Genomic DNA, 18,644 nt, shown 5'->3' on the forward strand with positions numbered 1-18,644 from the left:
GTCTGTTTACAGCTTTGCAGGCAGTGAAGTGGGATGTTGGTCACCATTGAGCCCCTACAGTAACTTTGTTATACTTCCTAGCCGTGGCTGTTAAGCTCTGACAGGTTTGGCCTTAGTCCTAGGTGCTAAAGGTTGACTTGGTTACAGGATTGAAGCTAGATTTGGAGTTTGCAGATTGAACTCTGTGCTGAGGGAATGCCTGTTGGGACCAGTGGGTGTGTGTGTCTCTAGAAGAGATCTATAAGGTTACCACCTTAAGTATCTTGGCCAAGCCGTATAAAATTGGCAGTAGTCATCCATTTTTACCTACAGACATGATAGTTCTCTATGGTTCAGCCTAATATCTACAAAGGAGTTGGTTTAAGGGCAATTCAAAGTTTGTCCTGAAGCTGGGAGAATCTCCTTGTGTGTCTCTAGGTTGCAGGTTAGATGGGAGAGCGAGCACAGCAGAGGAGCTGTGCAGGAAGAGACATGCAATGGAGGCTCCTCTCTCTCACAGAAATACATTTTCTGTGATAGTAGAGCGAAACCCTTTCACTCTGATCCATTCAGAAACTTTTCATACCTGGACTTTATTAAAGGGACTGTCACTTCCCCATTATCCCTCTTTGGGAGAATGCAAGGTATGCTCCTTTGCAGTAGTTGTTACTGTTAGCAGAGTTGACATTGTGGACACATCCAGTGCAGACATGGATTGGGAATGTGGGAGCCCCTGCTTAGAAGGTGCTCTCAACCTAGCTGGGGTGATAAGCCCTCCTCCTGTGGGCAGGGGAGTGTGGTTCTAGGAGCAGGTTTCCCTGTGATGACAGTGTGGCCTGTGCAGGCCGTGGAGAGCCATGACAGGAGTGTGGCCTGCCCCGTTGACAGGGAGGAGTTTCCATGAATGAGGCTTACTCCTTGCTAGGTTCATGTTCTTGAGCAGAGGAACTTGATTGCTCAATGGGCTAGGAAGAGGATTGCTCAGTAGGGGCTGTCTGAAGGGCCCAGGAGAAATTGATAATGGAGAAGTCCAATTCTGCAACAAGTTTTTTGAGAAGGACACTGCATTGTGGACATGAGTACCTTCTCTGCATGACTTAGAAGAAAGTTAATTTTGGTTTTTGGACAGTCCTGTTGACACTTCTGTTTTGTATTAAGTGATGAATTCCATGTTAAAATTATACTGGCCAGTTGATAGTTACCAAGGAAATGCTAGGCTCCTGATTCCAGTCAGTGGGTTTGGATATCCTAATCTGTGCTCTCCTCTCTTCTAGAATATGAGTGTTCTGCCTGTATTGGGAGCACATTGCTCAGTCTTTGAGTTATGCTCAGTTTCTTAATCCAGAGAATAAAATGTGTTTGGGTGCTGAGATTTTAGAGCTTTTCTGTAAGGTCAATACACTGAGAGAAGGCTTAATATTTCTTATCCATTGGCATTTTCCAGAAAACTGTATTTGCTTTTACTTTTTTTTTTTTTTTTTGAGACGGAGTTTCGCTTTTGTTGCCCAGGCTGGAGTGCAATGGTGCCATCTCGGCTCACCGCCACCTCTGCCTCCCAGGTTCAAGCGATTCTCCTGCCTCAGCCTCCCGAGTAGCTGGGATTACAGGCATGCGCCACCACGCCTGGCTAATTTTGTGTTTTTAGTAGAGATGGGGTTTCTCCATGTTGGTCACACTGGGCTCGAACTCCTGACCTCAGGTGATCTGCCTGCCTCAGTCTCCCAAAGTGCTGGGATTACAGGTGTGAGCCACTGCACCCAGCTGTACTTTCACTTTTTTTTAATTCAAAAAAAGTATGTGCATCCTTCTATGCTGATAAGAGTGTATTTTGGGGATACACGTTGAGTATCCCTTATCTGAAATGCTTGGAACCAGAGGTATTTTGGATTTCAGTTTTTTTCAGATTTTGGAATACCTGTATTTGCATTATACTGGTTGGGCATCCTGGACCTAGAAATCTGAAATGTTCCAGTGAGTATTTCCTTTGAGTGTCATGTTTTAAATTTTGGAGCATTTTCGATTTGGGATGCTCAATCTGTATTTTTTCCCAACTATTTTAGAAATTTTTCCTCATCAGAACCTTGACGACATCTCCCTGCACATAGCAGTAATGTACTGTGCACTATTATAAAGCTCATTCACCTGACAAAATACAATACTTGTGATGTGATCTCTCTTGGCCTTGACCTTTTGCGCACTGAAGCTTATGGCCAGTGTTAATTTGTTATTTCTTAAATAACTTTCCCTTTCATTTTTAAATTATAAATTTAACTTCTAACATGTTTTATGGTTAAAATTGTACTTTTTTCCTTTAGCGACATTCAAATGCATCACAATCACTTTGTGAAATTGTTCGCCTGAGCAGAGACCAGATGTTACAAATTCAGAACAGTACAGAGCCCGACCCCCTGCTTGCCACTCTAGAAAAGTATGTGTAAAACTCTGTTCTTGTTCTTCTTTCATATTGATGCTGTTCCATGTGTTACCATTGTGAGTGATTGGTAAGTGTTCCTTATGTGGGAATCATGTGCCTTGAAAATAACCTTGGGTGGGTGAGAAGGTAGGGAAACCTGCTTCTTTTATCTCAGTAGAAGTTTGGCAGGGTAAGAAGATAAATGACATTTATATCTAGACTTTGAGTTTTCCAATTATTTGTAAAATGGAATTCTGTAGAGCCATCCTAAGATGTGGTAGTCATTTAGAAATAACTGTAGTCACAGCTTCCAAGGGTCTTTTGATGAAGAATAGTCTTGTGTAAGTACGAATGTTGTGCATTTTATTCAGCAGCTTTTGTCAGATGATGTTTAAGGATTCATTGTATCTTTGCAGCCGATTAGGGACAGTTATCTCATGTTTAGGTTGAAGACAGCTTGGGGATGGGGTGCTGTTTTTTCTAGATTCACATGTTTTTAAAAAGAATGTTTACTGTCAACATGGGCATGTATATTTGACCTGCATTCAAACAGCTGAACGTTATTTTAATAGAGAATAATCAGGCCACTCCTCACTATGGGAGAATAATTGGGAAGTATGCATACAGCTAGCATTGTTAAGTACTAATGGCAATCTTGCTTCGGTTTACTTCTATTGTTGTTTTTAATGCTTTTGTCAATCCTTTTTATTCCTGCTGTATATTGAGGCTGTTTTGCATCTTTGGCTTAACTACCTATAATGCCGTTTTATTAAAATAAAATGTATTATTTCCTGGACATATGTAAGACAGGCAGGGAATACATTACAGACAAGTTAATGTGTCTTCAACCCTGTCTTTGCGAAGTGGAATTGTGTTTTCCTAGCATGTAGAATACGAAGGGGTTGAGTTCTCTGAAGTAGCAAAACTACAAAAGATTGCCGGCTTCTGAGTAAAATGGCATCTTACCTGTCCCATTTTAGTAATTCTTGCACTATGGCATATATAGTCCTTTAAAACATATAAGACACCCCACATTCAAATACTAATTGTGATATTAATTAGGTTGAACCTTGTAAAATTGCCATTTCAGTAGGTTAGAAATGTTGAATATCAGCAGTTTCATATGGCTCACTACAGTGCTGCCCAGTGGAAATAGAATCAAAGCCACATGTAATTTAAAATGTTTTTGCCCAAAGTCTTGGAAATCCAATGTGTATTTTACACTTAGAACATGCCGGTCAGACGAGTTAAATTTTGGGTGCTTGATAGCCACATGTAGTGAATGGCTCCCATAGTAGACAGTGCAGGTTCTGCCTGAATATCAGACTGCTTAGTAGTCATTGCTAAGTTCTTCGTGCCACTCCAAGCCTTCCGTCCACACAGCTTTATTTGGACCCAATGTGTAACCTAGCCACCAGAGCCCATGTGCGCACTAGCTTTTATATTTCAAGCTGTGTTTTAGTCCTAGATCAGGTAGCTAATTTCTGGATGAAGATAGGTAAATGCCTAGAATTTACATCATTAAATTAGTTGGAGTAAATGTGTTCAAATACATGGACCTGATGAATCAATGGCCCTGTTGCCAAGTAAAACCTCCATTGCATTTAACAGTGGAAAGAAAATCTGTCATAGTGCTTCCCACAGTCTGTTTGAGAATAAGAACCAACCACTTCTAATATTTGACACACTGCACATCTTTTTAGTGTCTGTTGATTCAGACAATACACAGTGAGAAAAGACTTCCATTTTAGTAAACTTATTAATCATAATAGCATCTGTATATATTTGATATATTATGTGATAATATGTAATATCTATTTGATAAATCATAGTTATTTAATAATGATGATATTACATATTAAATCACTGTACTGGCAATACATAATGTACACATAGCTTGCCGAGCTCTATATTATGATGCCAGGTAACCCACAGTGTGGACTCCACTGTATATATGAACATCACATGCATAAATGTTAAGCACAGATAGCACATATGGAAAAATTTGAAATGAGCTAAGGTTAAAGAAGATGCTAAAGAGCAGGTACCAAGAAATCTCAGAAAGCGGACTGAAGTGTTAAATAAAGAATGTTTGGCTTGGGAAGCAATCTGGGCTTAAATTGAATGCATTTTATTTAGTGACTGGAAATTTTTGAAGTTCAAAAATTTTTTAAAAACAGTTATGTTAGAATAGACTCTGTATCTGAATTCTTGATACTAATGACCTTATAACAAGTTGGGTTTGATCCCATTCACTTGAGCCAGTTGGTTTTTTGTAAGTGAATTTCTCATTAAAAAAAAAAAAAACGAAAAAAAAAAACAATGAGCCATTGTCCCAAAGGCAGGGATAAAGAACCTGGATGGCTTCATGCAGGAAACAGCTCATATCATGAGTTTTAGTGATGTCTATCCAGAAACTGCTATTTTTTAAAATGTGAAAATGAATATATTTTCTCGCATGTAATTAAATATCTTTTTATTGAAAGAATGTGAAGGCATTCCTTTTATTTTGTTTGATAAGCTTCAGTCCTTTGGTTTATTATTTCTTCTGGGTTTGGTGATACTTGCGTGTTTAGGTAAAACTCAGAAGATGGCGTAGCTATTGTGGTATTGTATTTTGACTGTCAAGTTTTCGCTGGTTATTATGTTTTTCTTGTCCATTAGTAGAATTCTTTCATGGATACAGTAGACTTCCAATTTGACACAGCGGTGAAATGGCTAGGGCCTCTGTTAGCCATCTTCAGGCATCTGTATTGACGAAAGTGACAGTGCCCTCTGATGAGTAAGAGCGCTATGGTTGAATGAAGAGAGTGTGGACCTCCACAGTCACATGCTGTCAGTACCCCTCCACCTGGGGTGAGGCTGCTGTTGAAAGAAAAACATATTTATTTTAAAAGATAGTTTGTTTTCCAGAGCTTGGTTCCAGACCTAATAGTTAGTGTATAGACTGCTGTGTGTTAAGTGACTTTTATAGTACTCTTTTGGTGAGAGATCTCACAAGCAATTATTGCTGGTCTGAGAGTACTTGAAAAACCTCTTCTTGCAAGGGGACCTTCTCAAGTTAGGTTAGATACTAGTTTTGTTTCCCCAAAATAGAAAGAGATTCTCTCCTATTTCCTGCCCTACGTTGGCAAGAGGTGATCAAGGAACTGGTGTACAGTACACTGAACACAGCTATACCTTGGGATGAGGTGTCAGGTGAGCAACCAAGGACAACCCAGCTGCATGTCACACTGTAAGGGAGATTCCATTTCTTTTTCTTTTCTTTTTCTTTTTTTTCTTTTTTCTTTTTTTGAGGTGGAGTCTCGTTCTGTCACCCAGGCTGGAGTGCAGTGGCGCGATCTCAGCTTACCGCAACCTCTGCCTGCTGGGTTCAAGCGATTCTCCTGCCTCAGCCTTCTGATTAGCTGGGATGACAGGCGTGCACCACGAGGCCCGGCTAATTTTTGTGTTTTTTAGTAGAAATGGGGTTTCACCATGTTGGTCAGGCTGGTCTCGAACTCCTGACCTTGTGATCCGCCTGCCTCGGCCTCCCAAAGTGTGGGGATTACAGGCGTGAGCCACTGCACCTGGCGTCCATTTCTTAATTCACATGGATTTCGAAAATTACTGAGAGGCTAAGAAACTAAAGTTTTCCTTGAGAATGTTCATATAAATTCAATGAACTGGTTTATGTTAATTGTTATCTTACTATGTATGAGAGAAGTGTAATGGAAAGAGCCTGCAGATAATGCTTTTTGGACATTTAATTTAGTCACATTTATTTCATTGCTGCCATTTTATTTTGCTTTTTCAAATTTTATTTGTAGAGTAAAATGCAACAACTGATGTTTTCTTTTTTCTGTTTTAGATCTTTGCTAATTACACATTTATGCTTTTGTAGGAAAACATTCATGGGTTCTAATTAGCCTTTCTGAACGTTTTCCCTTCTTTAGTGAGGGTGAAAGGTTCTATGTCTTCTTGCCACCCCCAGCCCCAGTCATCATCATCATCAGAGTCTTGGTTTGAGTAGGAGGTGACTTGGTCTTGAGATTCTGTTGGCTCTCGACAAAATTGGCAAAGACAAGCATGGCCCAGGTTATTTTGCTGAGGGAAAGAGATAGAAGGGTGAGTGAGTGAGTGTGTTTGTGTGCGGGTGCATGTGTGTAATTTATAAATAGGATCAATTGCCTACTTTAATAAGTATATAGAAATAAAATAGTAAAACAAATATGCCCAAGTATGAACTCTTCAGTGATGCTTGTCTTGTACCGTCGTCTTTTTTTCTGAGGTTGTTGGTGATAAGTGATACTGCAGTTAGTGATTATTGATTTGTTTCCCTAGGCAAGAAATTATAGAGCAGCTTCTATCAAATATTTTCCACAAGGAGAAAAATGAGTCAGCCATAGTCAGTGCAATCCAGATATTGCTGACTTTACTTGAGACACGACGACCAACGTAAGCTTTTCTTATATCTTACAAAATGAACCATGTTGTTTTGCTTTCAGATTTAAGAGTTAAATTCTTAGTGGATAAGCTGTAATAGCGTACCTTTGAATTGCAGTTGCTGATTCTTCTTCTGCTATATAAACCATAGCCTAATTTTATATGAATACCACATATTGGGATGCAGTTGAAAATTATGTTTTGGTGACACTATTTATTGGCAGTATTTAGACTCTAGTCATATATTTTTTTGGTAGTGGTAGTTAGGAAAATGCTTACTATAATAAATGCTATAATCAAAAACATGTATAATGGCTGAAAAACAGAGAAGCTTATTTCTTGCTCATGATAATTAAAAATAGGTGTTCCTGGTCAGTGGGTAGCTCTCCTGGCCATTCAGAACGTCTCTCTGTCTTGTGATTCCTTTCATTCCTTTCTGCAGATACTTAGGCCTTCAGGTGGTGTTTTCCTGGGTTTCACATTTGAGGGCACTTGAGCAGAGGCTGTCTTAAAATGCATGGGCAGGTGGCTTGAGCTTTGAGGACAAATTTCTTCTACATGTTTTATAATCAAAAATAAAGTCTTGCTTTTCACATGTGTGGCCTTCGCCCCTGGACCAGCCATTTCATGTGTGTCATGTTATTCTTTATAATTTATGTCCAGTGCAGATTTACTCATTATCAGAGTTTTCTAACTGCTCTTAGAGCATGAGAATCTGAAGAGGTATGTATAAGTTTTCCGGGATTGTGTGATGTAGAGGTTGGAATTTTGTATTTTTTACCCCAAAATTCATTCATTAAGCAAGGGATAGAGTGCATCCTTAGCATATGAAACTTCAGCCATTCAGGGTTTCTGGATTTACTTTTAGCGGTGTAATTTTGGTTTCTAGCAAAATAGTGAAGATAACCTTACCAACCAACCCCTGCTTCCCCAATTCCTGATCTCTGTTGCTGCTTTGCCTAATCTTTGGTCAATACTAATGGAAGGGCAGTGTGATGGCACTGCTTCAAGTATGTTGTAGTTTGGGGGTTGTTTGCCTACCTGTCTCTTTCTAGGAAAATCAGTACCATCTTCCTACCCCAGGGATACAGTGCCCTCTTCCCACCCCAGGGGTACAGTACCCTCTTCCCACCCCAGCGGTACAGTACCCTCTTCCCACCCCAGCGGTACGGTGCCCTCTTCCCACCCCAGCGGTACGGTGCCCTCTTCCCACCCCAGCGGTACGGTGCCCTCTTCCCACCCCAGCGGTACGGTGCCCTCTTCTCACCCCAGCGGTACGGTGCCCTCTTCCCACCCCAGCGGTACGGTGCCCTCTTCCCACCCCAGCAGTACAGTACCCTCTTGCTACTCATGCTACAAGGCCATCATTGCATTATGGAATGCTGTTAAAGCAGTAGAAGGAAATTTATAACATTAAGTGGTTATATTAGAAAAGAAGAAAGAATGTGTGTCAATGATTTAAGCTCCTACCTTACAAATTAAAGGTAAAGGCAGGACAAATTAAACCCAAGGCAAACAGAAGGAAAGAAATAATAAAATTCAGAGCAGAAGTCAGTGGACTTGAGATGAGAAAAATAATACAGAATATCAGTGAAGCCAAAAGCTCGTTCTTTGAAAAAATCAATAAAATTGATAAACTTCCATCCCAATTAGGAAAAAAGTAGAAAAGAGACAAATTACAAATAATAGGAATGACTGTGTGCTATGGACTTTAACACTGTTTCCTGTGGAGTTCAGATGAATAATAAGAGACTACTACAAACAATGCATTAAACAGATTCAGCAGTTTATATGTGATGGACAACTTCCTTAGAGGAAATAATTGCCAAAGATCACTCAAGAAGAAATAGGTAGCATGAGCAGCCCCATATCAGTTGAAGAAATTGAACTTATATTGAAAACCTTTAACAAAGAAAACTCCTGGCCTAGATAGGCTCAATTGGTGAAGTCTACCAAAGATGGAAGAACTCTGTCAGAATACAGTAGAGGGAACTCTTTCCAACTCATTTTATGTAGCCAGCATCACTTTGAAACTATAGTGAACTACACAAAATCATGGGAACAAAAGCTATATTTGTTCCTCTGTATCTGCTGAGGATTGGTTCTAGGACTCCCATGCATACCAAAATCTGCGGTTGCTCAAGTCTCGTATAAATGGCATAGTATTTGCATGTAACCTACACATATCCTCCTGTGTACTTTAAATCATCTCTGGTTTCCTTATACCTTTTTTTTTTTTTTTTTTTTAAGACAGAGTCTCGTTCTGTCACCCAGGCTGGAGTGCAGTGGTGCGATCTCGGCTCACTGCAAGCTCCGCCTCCTGGGTTCACACCATTCTCCTGCCTCAGTCTCCCGAGTAGCTGGGACTACAGGCGCCCGCCACTACGCCCAGCTAACTTTTTTTGTATTTTTTAGTAGAGACGGGGTTTCACCGTGGTCTCGATCTCCTGACCTTGTGATCCACCCCCCTCGGCCTCCCAAAGTGCTGGGATTACAGGCGTGAGCCACCACGCCCGGCCACTTATACCTTATACAATGTAAATGATATATGTTAAGCTGTTTCATTATTTTAAATAGTATTATTTTTTGTTTGGCATTTTTTTCCACCTTTTTTTAGAGATGCAGTCTCACTATGTTGCCCAGGCTGGCCTTGAACACCTGGGCTCTAATGATCCTTCCGCCTCAGCCTCTTAAGTCATTGGGACTAGGTGAACCACCTCGCCCAGCTTTCTCTGAATATTTTTGATTTCCAGTTAATTGAGTCAGTGGACATAGAACCTGTGGATACAGAGGGCCGACTGCAAGTAACAAAATGCCACAAGAGCTGAAATGTAAAATTCCTCAAGAAAATATGAGTGAATCAAGTCTAACAGTATATTGTAAGGATAATATATATCATAACAAAGTATGGTTTGTCTTGGGAATGCAAGGCTCATTCATCCTTCAAAATCTTCACATCAACAGACAGCAGATCTGATCACATCAGATCAATGAAGAAAAAACATATCATCATTTTGTTAAATTCCTTTATGATAAAACATCTCAGCAGATTAGTATTAGAAGGGAACTTGGATGAAAACTGATAAAGCCCTCTTTCATTTTATTTATATTTTTTGAGATAAGGCCTGCCATTCAGACTGGAGTGCAGTGGCACAATCATAGCTTACTATTGACTTGATCTCCTGGGCCTAAGTGATCTTCCCACTTTAGCCTCCTGAAGTAGCTAGGACTACAGGCACAAGCCATCATGTCCAGCCAAATTTTTTTTATGTTTTGTAGCGATGGAGTCTGTGTTGCTACATTCAGAGGGGAGGGGGCGATGTGAGACTGCATCTGTTTACAGATGACAGGATTGTCTTTGTAGAATATCCTAAAGAACATTAAAGAAAAAAAAAAACGCATACTCCTAGAACTAACAAATACATTTAGCAAGATTGCAAGTATGAAGTCAGCACTCAAAAGTTAATTGCATTTCTATGTACTAGGAATGAGCAATTGGAATTTGAAATTTTTTCGAAGTATTATTTTTTATAGCATAGAGAAAAGAAAATACTAAGATACAAACCTAACAAAATGTGTGCAAGGCTTAATGCCCCAAAACTATAGAATATTGATGAAATCAAAGATGACCTACATAAATGGAGAGAAATACTCTGTTCATGGATTAGAAGACTCAGTATTGTTAAGATGTCACTTCTCCCCAAATGGACCTGCAGATTCAATGCAATTCCGAACAAAATCTAAGCAGGATTTTTTAGAAATCAAGTGAATTCTAAAACTTGCACAAGAATCAAAGTACAGTAGCCAAAACAATTTTGCAAGAGAAAAGGACTCACACTCTGATTTTGAGACTTAATACAAAGCGACAGCAATCAGGACAGTGTGGTGAAAGAATAGACATACAGATCACTGGGACAGAGCAGAGTCCAGAAGTAGACCCATCCCCATGATCAGGCGGTTTTTAACAGAGGCATGGGGGCAGTTCAGCGGAGAAAGGACAGCGTTTTCAGTAAATCGTCCTGAATGGTTAGGTATTCTATGCAGAACGTTGGACTTTGATATATATTTTGCAGATTATGCAAAAATTAACTCAAAATGGATGATAGAACTAGACATAAAACTAGTAGTTCTAGAAGCAAACAGGAGAAAATCTTTGTCTCAGAGTCATGTACAGATTGTTTAGATACATTGCCAAAACCCAATTCATAAAACAGAAGTTGATAACTCAGACTACACTAAAATTTTAAAATTCTGCTCCGAGACTCTGTTAAGAAAATTAAAAGATAGGTCACAGACTGCCAGAAAATATTGATAACGTGTGAGAAAAGACTTACATCCAGGTATATGAAGAATACCTAGGCTGGATATGGTGGCTCATGCCTAGCACTTTGGGAGGCTGAGGGGGGAGGATCACTTGAGAAGGCCCCATCTCTACCGAAAAAAAAAAAAAAAGCCAGGCATGGTGACATGTGCCTGTAGTCCCAGCTACATAGGACGCTGAGGGAGGAGGATCACTTGAGCCCAGGAAACAACAAAAACAAAGCAGTAATTTATCCTCTCACAGTTCTGAGTCCTAGAAGTCTAAGATCAAGGTGTTGGTGGTGCTAGATTCCTTTCAGAGATACTAAGGCATTCCTCTTCCAGCTTCTAGTAGTTCTTGGCATTCCTTGGCTTGTGACCCCTCTGCATCCTCTTTACATTGCCTTCCCCTCTGTGTGTCTGTCTTGCCTCTTCTCTCTTCGAAGCATAGTTATGATGGCATTTAAGGCCCCCCTGGGTAATCTAGGATAATCTTTCATCTCAAGATCTTTAATTAATTTCATCTTCAGAGATCTTTTTTCCAAAGAAGGTGACATTTGCAGGCCCTACGTATTAGAATGTGGACGTATGTTTTGGGTAGGAGAGCATCATTCAGCCCACTACTTAGCTAAACCAGACAGACAGAATAGACAGTACTCAGTGCAGTATGCAGGGCAACTGGAAGTCACACACATTACTGTTGGGAATGGAAAGTGATACAGCCACTTCATAGAAATGTTTGTCAGTTCTTAGAAAGTTAAACATTCATAATGTCACCCAGAATTCTTATCCTTGAGTATTTACCCAGTTCTCATTCTACCTGTAATTGTTTTCCTGCAAGAAGTAGGTTATAATGAGTATAGATTGAACTTTATGTAGAATAATTTTAAACCTTTTAAATAGGAAATAATGTTGATTATCTAAGAAAAACTGTATGGAACAAGTATAGGCCTGTTCATTAATAACACCCCAAACTGGCAGGCAATTTGGGGTGCCCTATAATCCAGAGGTTGGATCCCTTTCGCTTTCCAAATTTCCTGGTCACTTAGAGACTTGTTACTGTATAATAGTTATGAAGACTTAGAAGGTTTAGAATGGGAAGAAATCACATGTAATTTCTTACCTGATACTGTAGCTGTTTGGGTTGCAGGTTATAGAGTCTGAGCCTCATGGAGGTTTCATTAACCCTCTTCTGCCTCATTATGCTTTTTTCCTAGCCTTTTTTCCCGCAGCCAGAAAAGTTGATATAATCATTAAGTAAAGACATACATGGTCGATAACCTTGAATGATTTGTTCTGAAATTATAATAACTAAAATTCCTTGCTTTGTTTCAAGATTTGAAGGCCATATAGAGATCTGCCCACCAGGCATGAGCCATTCAGCTTGTTCAGTAAACAAGAGTGTTCTAGAAGCCATCAGAGGAAGACTTGGATCTTTTCATGAACTCCTGCTGGAGCCACCCAAGGTAGGGGAGCTATGTTAAGCATGGCTGCCCAGCGAGTAATTTGGTTGAAACAGTCATTCGAATGTGTACGGGCCTTAGGAGTGGCAGAACTGGCTGTGGTCTGCATGTACAAAATGAGTGAAAAGATAACACTGCCAGTGATTTTTACTGCTTTTGAGTGGAGAATGGAGAATTAAACAAAATATTCATCAGTTTAGGAAGTTTACCTTTTCATTCTTCTGTAAATTCTTGGGTACTTACATGCCAGTAAAGAAAAAAGAATTTTCTTCTTGTAGCATATTATTTTTGAATGTTTCAGGAAAAGCTAATCTTTCAGAAACGGATCTTTGAAATTATGTTTTCTTACTCAGAGTTGGAGCAGTGTATGTCTGATGTATAGTCGACCTTATTTAAGAAAGAGTAGGTTGAAGTTAGTATACAATTTGGAGAGAATATGATTTGGGGGTTTTTCAGTACAGAGCCTCCCATGTGCTAATTTTAAATGACTGTTTCCTCAGTGAAGACCCACAAGAGTTTTGTCAGCAGTCTATAAATGGTGTTCTTTCGCCCCTTGGATTGATACAGATTTAGATTAGGGTGATAATCACTTGCTTTTGGAGTCTAGGGTGGAAGATTCAGTTCCATGTGAGTTCTGTTCCCAGCAACAGTTCTTAAGTTTCCTTTTTTTTCCTGCCCTATATCATTGAATCTGGTGTATCTCGGTGGTTATCTACTGTGCGAGTTATTGGGAATTTAGAATACTAGTTTCTCACTTGTAAATTAGATGTTTTCTGTTTATTTAACTATTTGGAGTTGGGGGAGCACAGGATAACTTATATAACCAAGGGAGTCTAGTTCAGCTCCAGATCATCTTTTCAGATACCTGATGCCATTGGTGAGCAGGTCGTGGTTCCATCACTGTGCTCACAGTTTGCGTTACTCTGCTGGTTCCATTCCAGCCACATCTTATCTGCATTCAGCCTGTGTTGGATGTGGACCATAGTGTTGGTGCTTGCCCTTAGGGAAAGTGCCTCTGTTGGTGTTTGACAATGATGGTCAGTGGCATCCTTCATGCCAGTCCTGGGAAGAAAAACAGAGTAAGGAAAGAAAAAGAAAAGATTTAGAAGAGGAGAGAACATCACAAGTGGAAGACGGAGGTGGGAGAAGGATCTGACAGGGAAGAAGGTGTGTGAGGAAGGGCCTGACCTGTGTCTTAGGTGGCCCACCCATCTTCTTTCTGGGTGGACAAACAGGTGGCATCTGGTTCTGGGCCCCGATTCAAAAGTAAGGCAGTGTCTTGTTTGGACTTCTCTGTTACTCCGAGAACTGAGTGAGTTCCGTTTGCACCTGGTTTTACTGTATGATATGTCTGTCTCGGAGTACCGTTTGCACCTGGTTTTACTGTATGATGTGTCTGTAAGTAGATCCATGAAGTTTTTTACAAAGCCTGCCAATTAGAGCTGTTTTCCATAGAGAGCAGAACTGTGGGCCTTACAGCTCTGTGAGTCCTCGGGAGGATGGGAGCCAGAGGGAGTGAGGCTACTGATGTGGATGGGGAGGGGCAGAAAGGGCAGCCTGCCCTAGGCTGTTACGTGCCACCCTTGCCTCTCAGACTTCTAAAGTTAGGAAATGTTCTGCTTCTACTTTTGTGATTTCAGGCTATAGAAACTCCTGTTGATGGACAAGAACAGGTTTAGATTGATCACATTTCAGGTTTGTGATCCAGAGGCAACGTCTGAATTTGCATTTTTATCACAGATTTGGCTCAGACTGAGGATTGTATTCCAAAACCACTTGTAGCAACTACTACCACCACCACCACCACGGCTGCTGCTGCTGCTGCTGCTGCTGTTGCTACTACTACCACTTCTTCTTCTTCTTTATTCTTCCTTCCTCCTCCTCCTTCCTCCTTCTCTTTCCTCCTCCTCCTCCTCCTTTTTTCTTCCTTCTTCCTTTTTTTGTTTTTTTGAGACAGTGTCTCACTCTTGCTCAGGCTGGAGTACAATGGCACAATCACAGCTCACTGCAGCCTCAACTTCCGCAGGCCCAGGTGATTCTCCCACCTCATCTTCCTGAGTAACTGGTACTACAGGTGTGCATCACCATGCCTGGCTAATTTTTGTATTTTTTGTAGAGACAGGGTCTCACCATATTGCCCAGGCTGGTCTCAAACTCCTGGGTTCAAGCGATCCACCCACCTCGGCCTCTCAAAGTGCTGGGATTATAGGCATGAGCTACTGTGCCCGGCCATAACTTCTTTTAGTTTAGATTTCTGGTCAGATTTTGAAATATTGTACTTTTTCCTAGGATATTCTGTAGCCTTCTGCTTTCTTCTCATAACAGCTTGGAATGTTGAGGCAGGGAGACACTTGATTTCTTATAAAATTTATGATCCAGGGAAATTCCTTGCTTTTTTTTCCTTTTTCCTGCTTGGTTATTTCATTGTATCTTAAAGATATCAAGAGCAGCTTTAGATGTTGTTTCAGGTGTAAAATTCAGGCCATGTTGTTTGCAGGGTTTAAACTAGTGTCATGTCTTAGCAAATACACCATTTGCTTTGTTCATTTAACTGAATTTAATTGGAAAGCTTTTTCTTCTTCAGAAAAGTGTGATGAAGACCACATGGGGTGTGCTGGATCCTCCTGTGGGGAATACCCGGTTGAATGTCATTAGGTTGATATCCAGCCTGCTTCAAACCAATACCAGCAGTATAAATGGGGACCTTATGGAGCTGAATAGCATTGGAGTCATATTGGTGAGATTTTCCCTGCTCACAGACATTTTAATTTGCCATTGATATTTCATGGATATTTAACCAAGTTACAACCTTACAAATTTACATTATGTCAGTGACTTTTCTTGGTCTGAGCATAAATGGTGTTTTATGTAGTTTTTGCCTTGAGTTTATTATAAATTTCGAATGCTTATAATTGTTCACTAGGCATCTACTGTTGCTTTATATAAAGAATTGTAACATAGGATTTTGAAGATGATTAAGAGACATCGGCTTTTCCCTCGTGCTCCGTCTCGTGGACAATGACTGCTGGGTGCAGCATTGTTTTCTGTTCATATTTAGTGAGGGGACAAACCTTTATCTTCTTGCCACTGGGAGGTATCTGTATAACGTACCTGACGCCATATGGTCTTAATTGATTTGAGTCTGGATTGACTCTTCCTTGAGACACAGTTATTAGCCTGCTTACTGATGGAAGGAGAAGGAAAAGCCCAGGGATGATTTAGGTCTCCCTGACCCCTGAATTCCCCAGTTTCAGAGTCTGTGCTTAGAATCCATAGGCCCAGCTCTGGAGCCCATGCTTCTTCTCTGTGTGCTGCCACCCACAGCACAGAAAGCGCGAGGGTTAACACTTTAGCAGGTTTCACAAGACATCTGGTCACATCATATATTTGGGGGAGATGTGGGGGTGTTTCAAAGGAGGTGTTTGTTCACTGTATGACAGGCATTGTAATGTTCATCTTATGTACACTATTCATGTGATCCTGGGTGATCTCCAGGACCCTCGGGTGAACATTACAGTGAGAGAGAGGATGTGTTTTTCAGATCATGCCCAGAGAGAGGATACATTCCATGGCTAGTGAGCGGTGAAGCCAAGATTTGAATTCACCCAATTTCAAACCCATACGTGCTTTATCAACCACATCATTGTGCTTCCTAGCGTCACCGAGATATTTTTGTTAGGTTTCAGCTTTGGGTTAAATCAGTATAGAGCACAGAAAACAGGAGCAATTTGGAAAAAGAGATGAAGATTTAAAGAATTACAGTTTCTTTGATAGCTAGCATGGTCATTGCCTTCTGGGGACGTAGTTTTTGTCCTACCTTCTAGTGTATAAAACTCCGGGAATATAACGTTCCTAAGTCATTGATCACTGGTCTTTAATTTTACTAATAACAATATACAGTTATTGTTAATTTATTCTGTTAATCTTTAGGACTACTTCTGATGAGACTAAATTTGATGAGACTACTGGAGGAGTTACTCATTACTTCTTCATTTTGAGATTAGATAACCAGACCCAACCATTTCCTAAATATGACATACTAAATTGACTTCCAAAATATGGCATTTTGTACTTTTAGAAATTCTTTCCCTTTTGTAATGCTATTACCTTTTCAAGTAATTTGAAAACCCTTGTACTTCCAGGAGATTCACGTTACTGCCTCTCGTATCCTCATTTGTTTTTGCTGATAGCTCTAGTTTTTGTATGCTGGAGTTGAGTCATGAGCACCTCAAGACTGTGGACCGTATTTTTGTGTATCTCTGTCTGCCATGTTGCATCTCATACAATACCCTGCACAAAAACCATCAGTAAATATTTGTTGCATCAAAATGAAATTCTTACAATTTTTTTTTTTTTTTGAGATGGAGTCTGGCTCAGTCGCCCAGGCTGGAGTGCAGTGATCTTGGCTCACTGCAAGCTCCGCCTCCTGGGTTCACGCCATTCTCCTGCCTCAGCCTCCTGAGTAGCTGGGGCCACAGGCGCCCGCCACCACACCCAGCGATTTTTTTGTATTTTTAGTAGAGACGGGGTTTCACCGTGTTAGGATGGTCTTGATCTCCTGACCTCGTGATCCGCCCGCCTCGGCCTCCCAGAGTGCAGAGATTACAGGCATGAGCCACCACGCCTGGCCTCTTATAAATTTTTTTGAAAATTATAGAAAATTTACCACGCTAACTATTTGTGTTAGTTGCTTTGAAGAGAAAAAAGATACTCCCTTTCTCTTGGAGAAACGTACTCTTGTCTTTGTATGTTTGTTGTTGGTTTTTTACTAGATTCCATACCAGTTCTGGCATGTCAGATAAGCAGATAGCACGCCATTTAGGCTCTAAAGCAATACTTCACATCCCCATTTAGTCCTCGTTATTTATGAGGGATACCTTCCAAGACTCCTTTGGATGCCTGAAACCACAGCTATCGAACCCTATATATACTATGTGTTTTTCCTATACATACCTGTGACAAAGTTTAATTTATAAATTAAGCACAGGAAGAGATTAATAATAACTAATAATAAAGTAGAACAATTATAAATCTATACTGTAATGAATGTTATGTGAATGTCATCTCTTGGATTAGCATGTCTTACTGTATTATACTCACCTATTTTCAGATCATGGTTGACTGTGGGTAACTGAAACCACAGAAAATGAAACTGTGGTTATGCAAGTACTAATGTGAACTCAGGTTCCTTTTAATTGGTCCTTTTGGACTGAGAGCACATCATTTTTACTTTATTAAATCACTGTTCTGTAAATGTATTTAAGTATTGGCTTAAACATTGAGGTAACCGAATAAAACATGGTTTTTCTTTTTTGTAGAACATGTTCTTCAAGTATACATGGAATAACTTTTTGCATACACAAGTGGAAATTTGTATTGCACTGATTCTTGCAAGTCCTTTTGAAAACACAGAAAATGCCACAATTACCGATCAAGACTCCACTGGTGATAATTTGTTATTAAAACATGTAAGCTTATTTGGTCTCGTTTTTCTCCCACTCTCTCCTGGTTATAGCAGTTTTCCACTTGACTGTGATGTGAATTGAGGTTTAAAGGGCTTGAGGTTAGATTTCAGAGTCTAAATATTTGACAATCATGTGTTCGTTTCACTTTTAACATATAAATCATTATATAAATCAAGTACTGGACAAATAACTATTAAATGAACAGTCTTGTAAGAAAAAAGCTAAGTGGCCTCCTTATTTGGTAAAATTAATAGGTTTGAAGATATATAAATTCTTTGATGATTTGAAGAATCATAGAAATTTAAATACTATGGAAAACATTTGCACTATTATTTGGCTGACCAGAGTGTAGTTTCTTTGCTGAATACGTGACTGAAAGTCAGGAGAACTGAGTTCTTTGTGATGTTGAGAGTCTTCCTGGGGTCTCTTTTTCTCTTCTGTCAAATATGAGATAATTTTACTAAGTCAGTCTTCAGATTTTTTCTTGCTTGGTAGTTCTATGGTACTTTTAAAATTTCTAGCCCACACTTGGTTTACTCGCAAACCTAAAATGTAGAAAAGGCTAGCTTGGAACAGCCAAGTTGATGGGAAAGACAAATG

The 18,644-nt window shown here is 39.9% G+C and overlaps 1 protein-coding gene across 84 annotated transcripts in view; it reads left to right on the top strand.

The window, feature by feature from the left end:
- Nucleotides 1-18,644, top strand: part of PPP6R3 (protein phosphatase 6 regulatory subunit 3) — a 154,583-nt gene that overhangs the window by 91,099 nt on the left and 44,840 nt on the right. For 72 of the 84 annotated variants that reach the window (NR_147971.2, NR_147966.2, NR_147967.2 and 69 more), the window contains 5 exons: nt 2,295-2,407; nt 6,716-6,829; nt 12,453-12,582; nt 15,164-15,316; nt 17,898-18,047. Coding sequence is in view for 77 of the 84 variants with exons in the window: in NM_001352362.2 (NP_001339291.1) it covers nt 2,295-2,407; nt 6,716-6,829; nt 12,453-12,582; nt 15,164-15,316; nt 17,898-18,047 (660 nt within the window). In the remaining 7 variants the exon portion in view is untranslated. The remainder of the gene's footprint in view (nt 1-2,294; nt 2,408-6,715; nt 6,830-12,452; nt 12,583-15,163; nt 15,317-17,897; nt 18,048-18,644) is intronic. The other 12 variants (XM_047427225.1, XM_047427228.1, XM_024448601.2 and 9 more) reach the window with 1 other exon arrangement.

The sequence above is a fragment of the Homo sapiens genome, chromosome 11 (genome assembly GCF_000001405.40).
Source record: "Homo sapiens chromosome 11, GRCh38.p14 Primary Assembly".
NCBI classification, from domain to species: domain Eukaryota; kingdom Metazoa; phylum Chordata; class Mammalia; order Primates; family Hominidae; genus Homo; species Homo sapiens.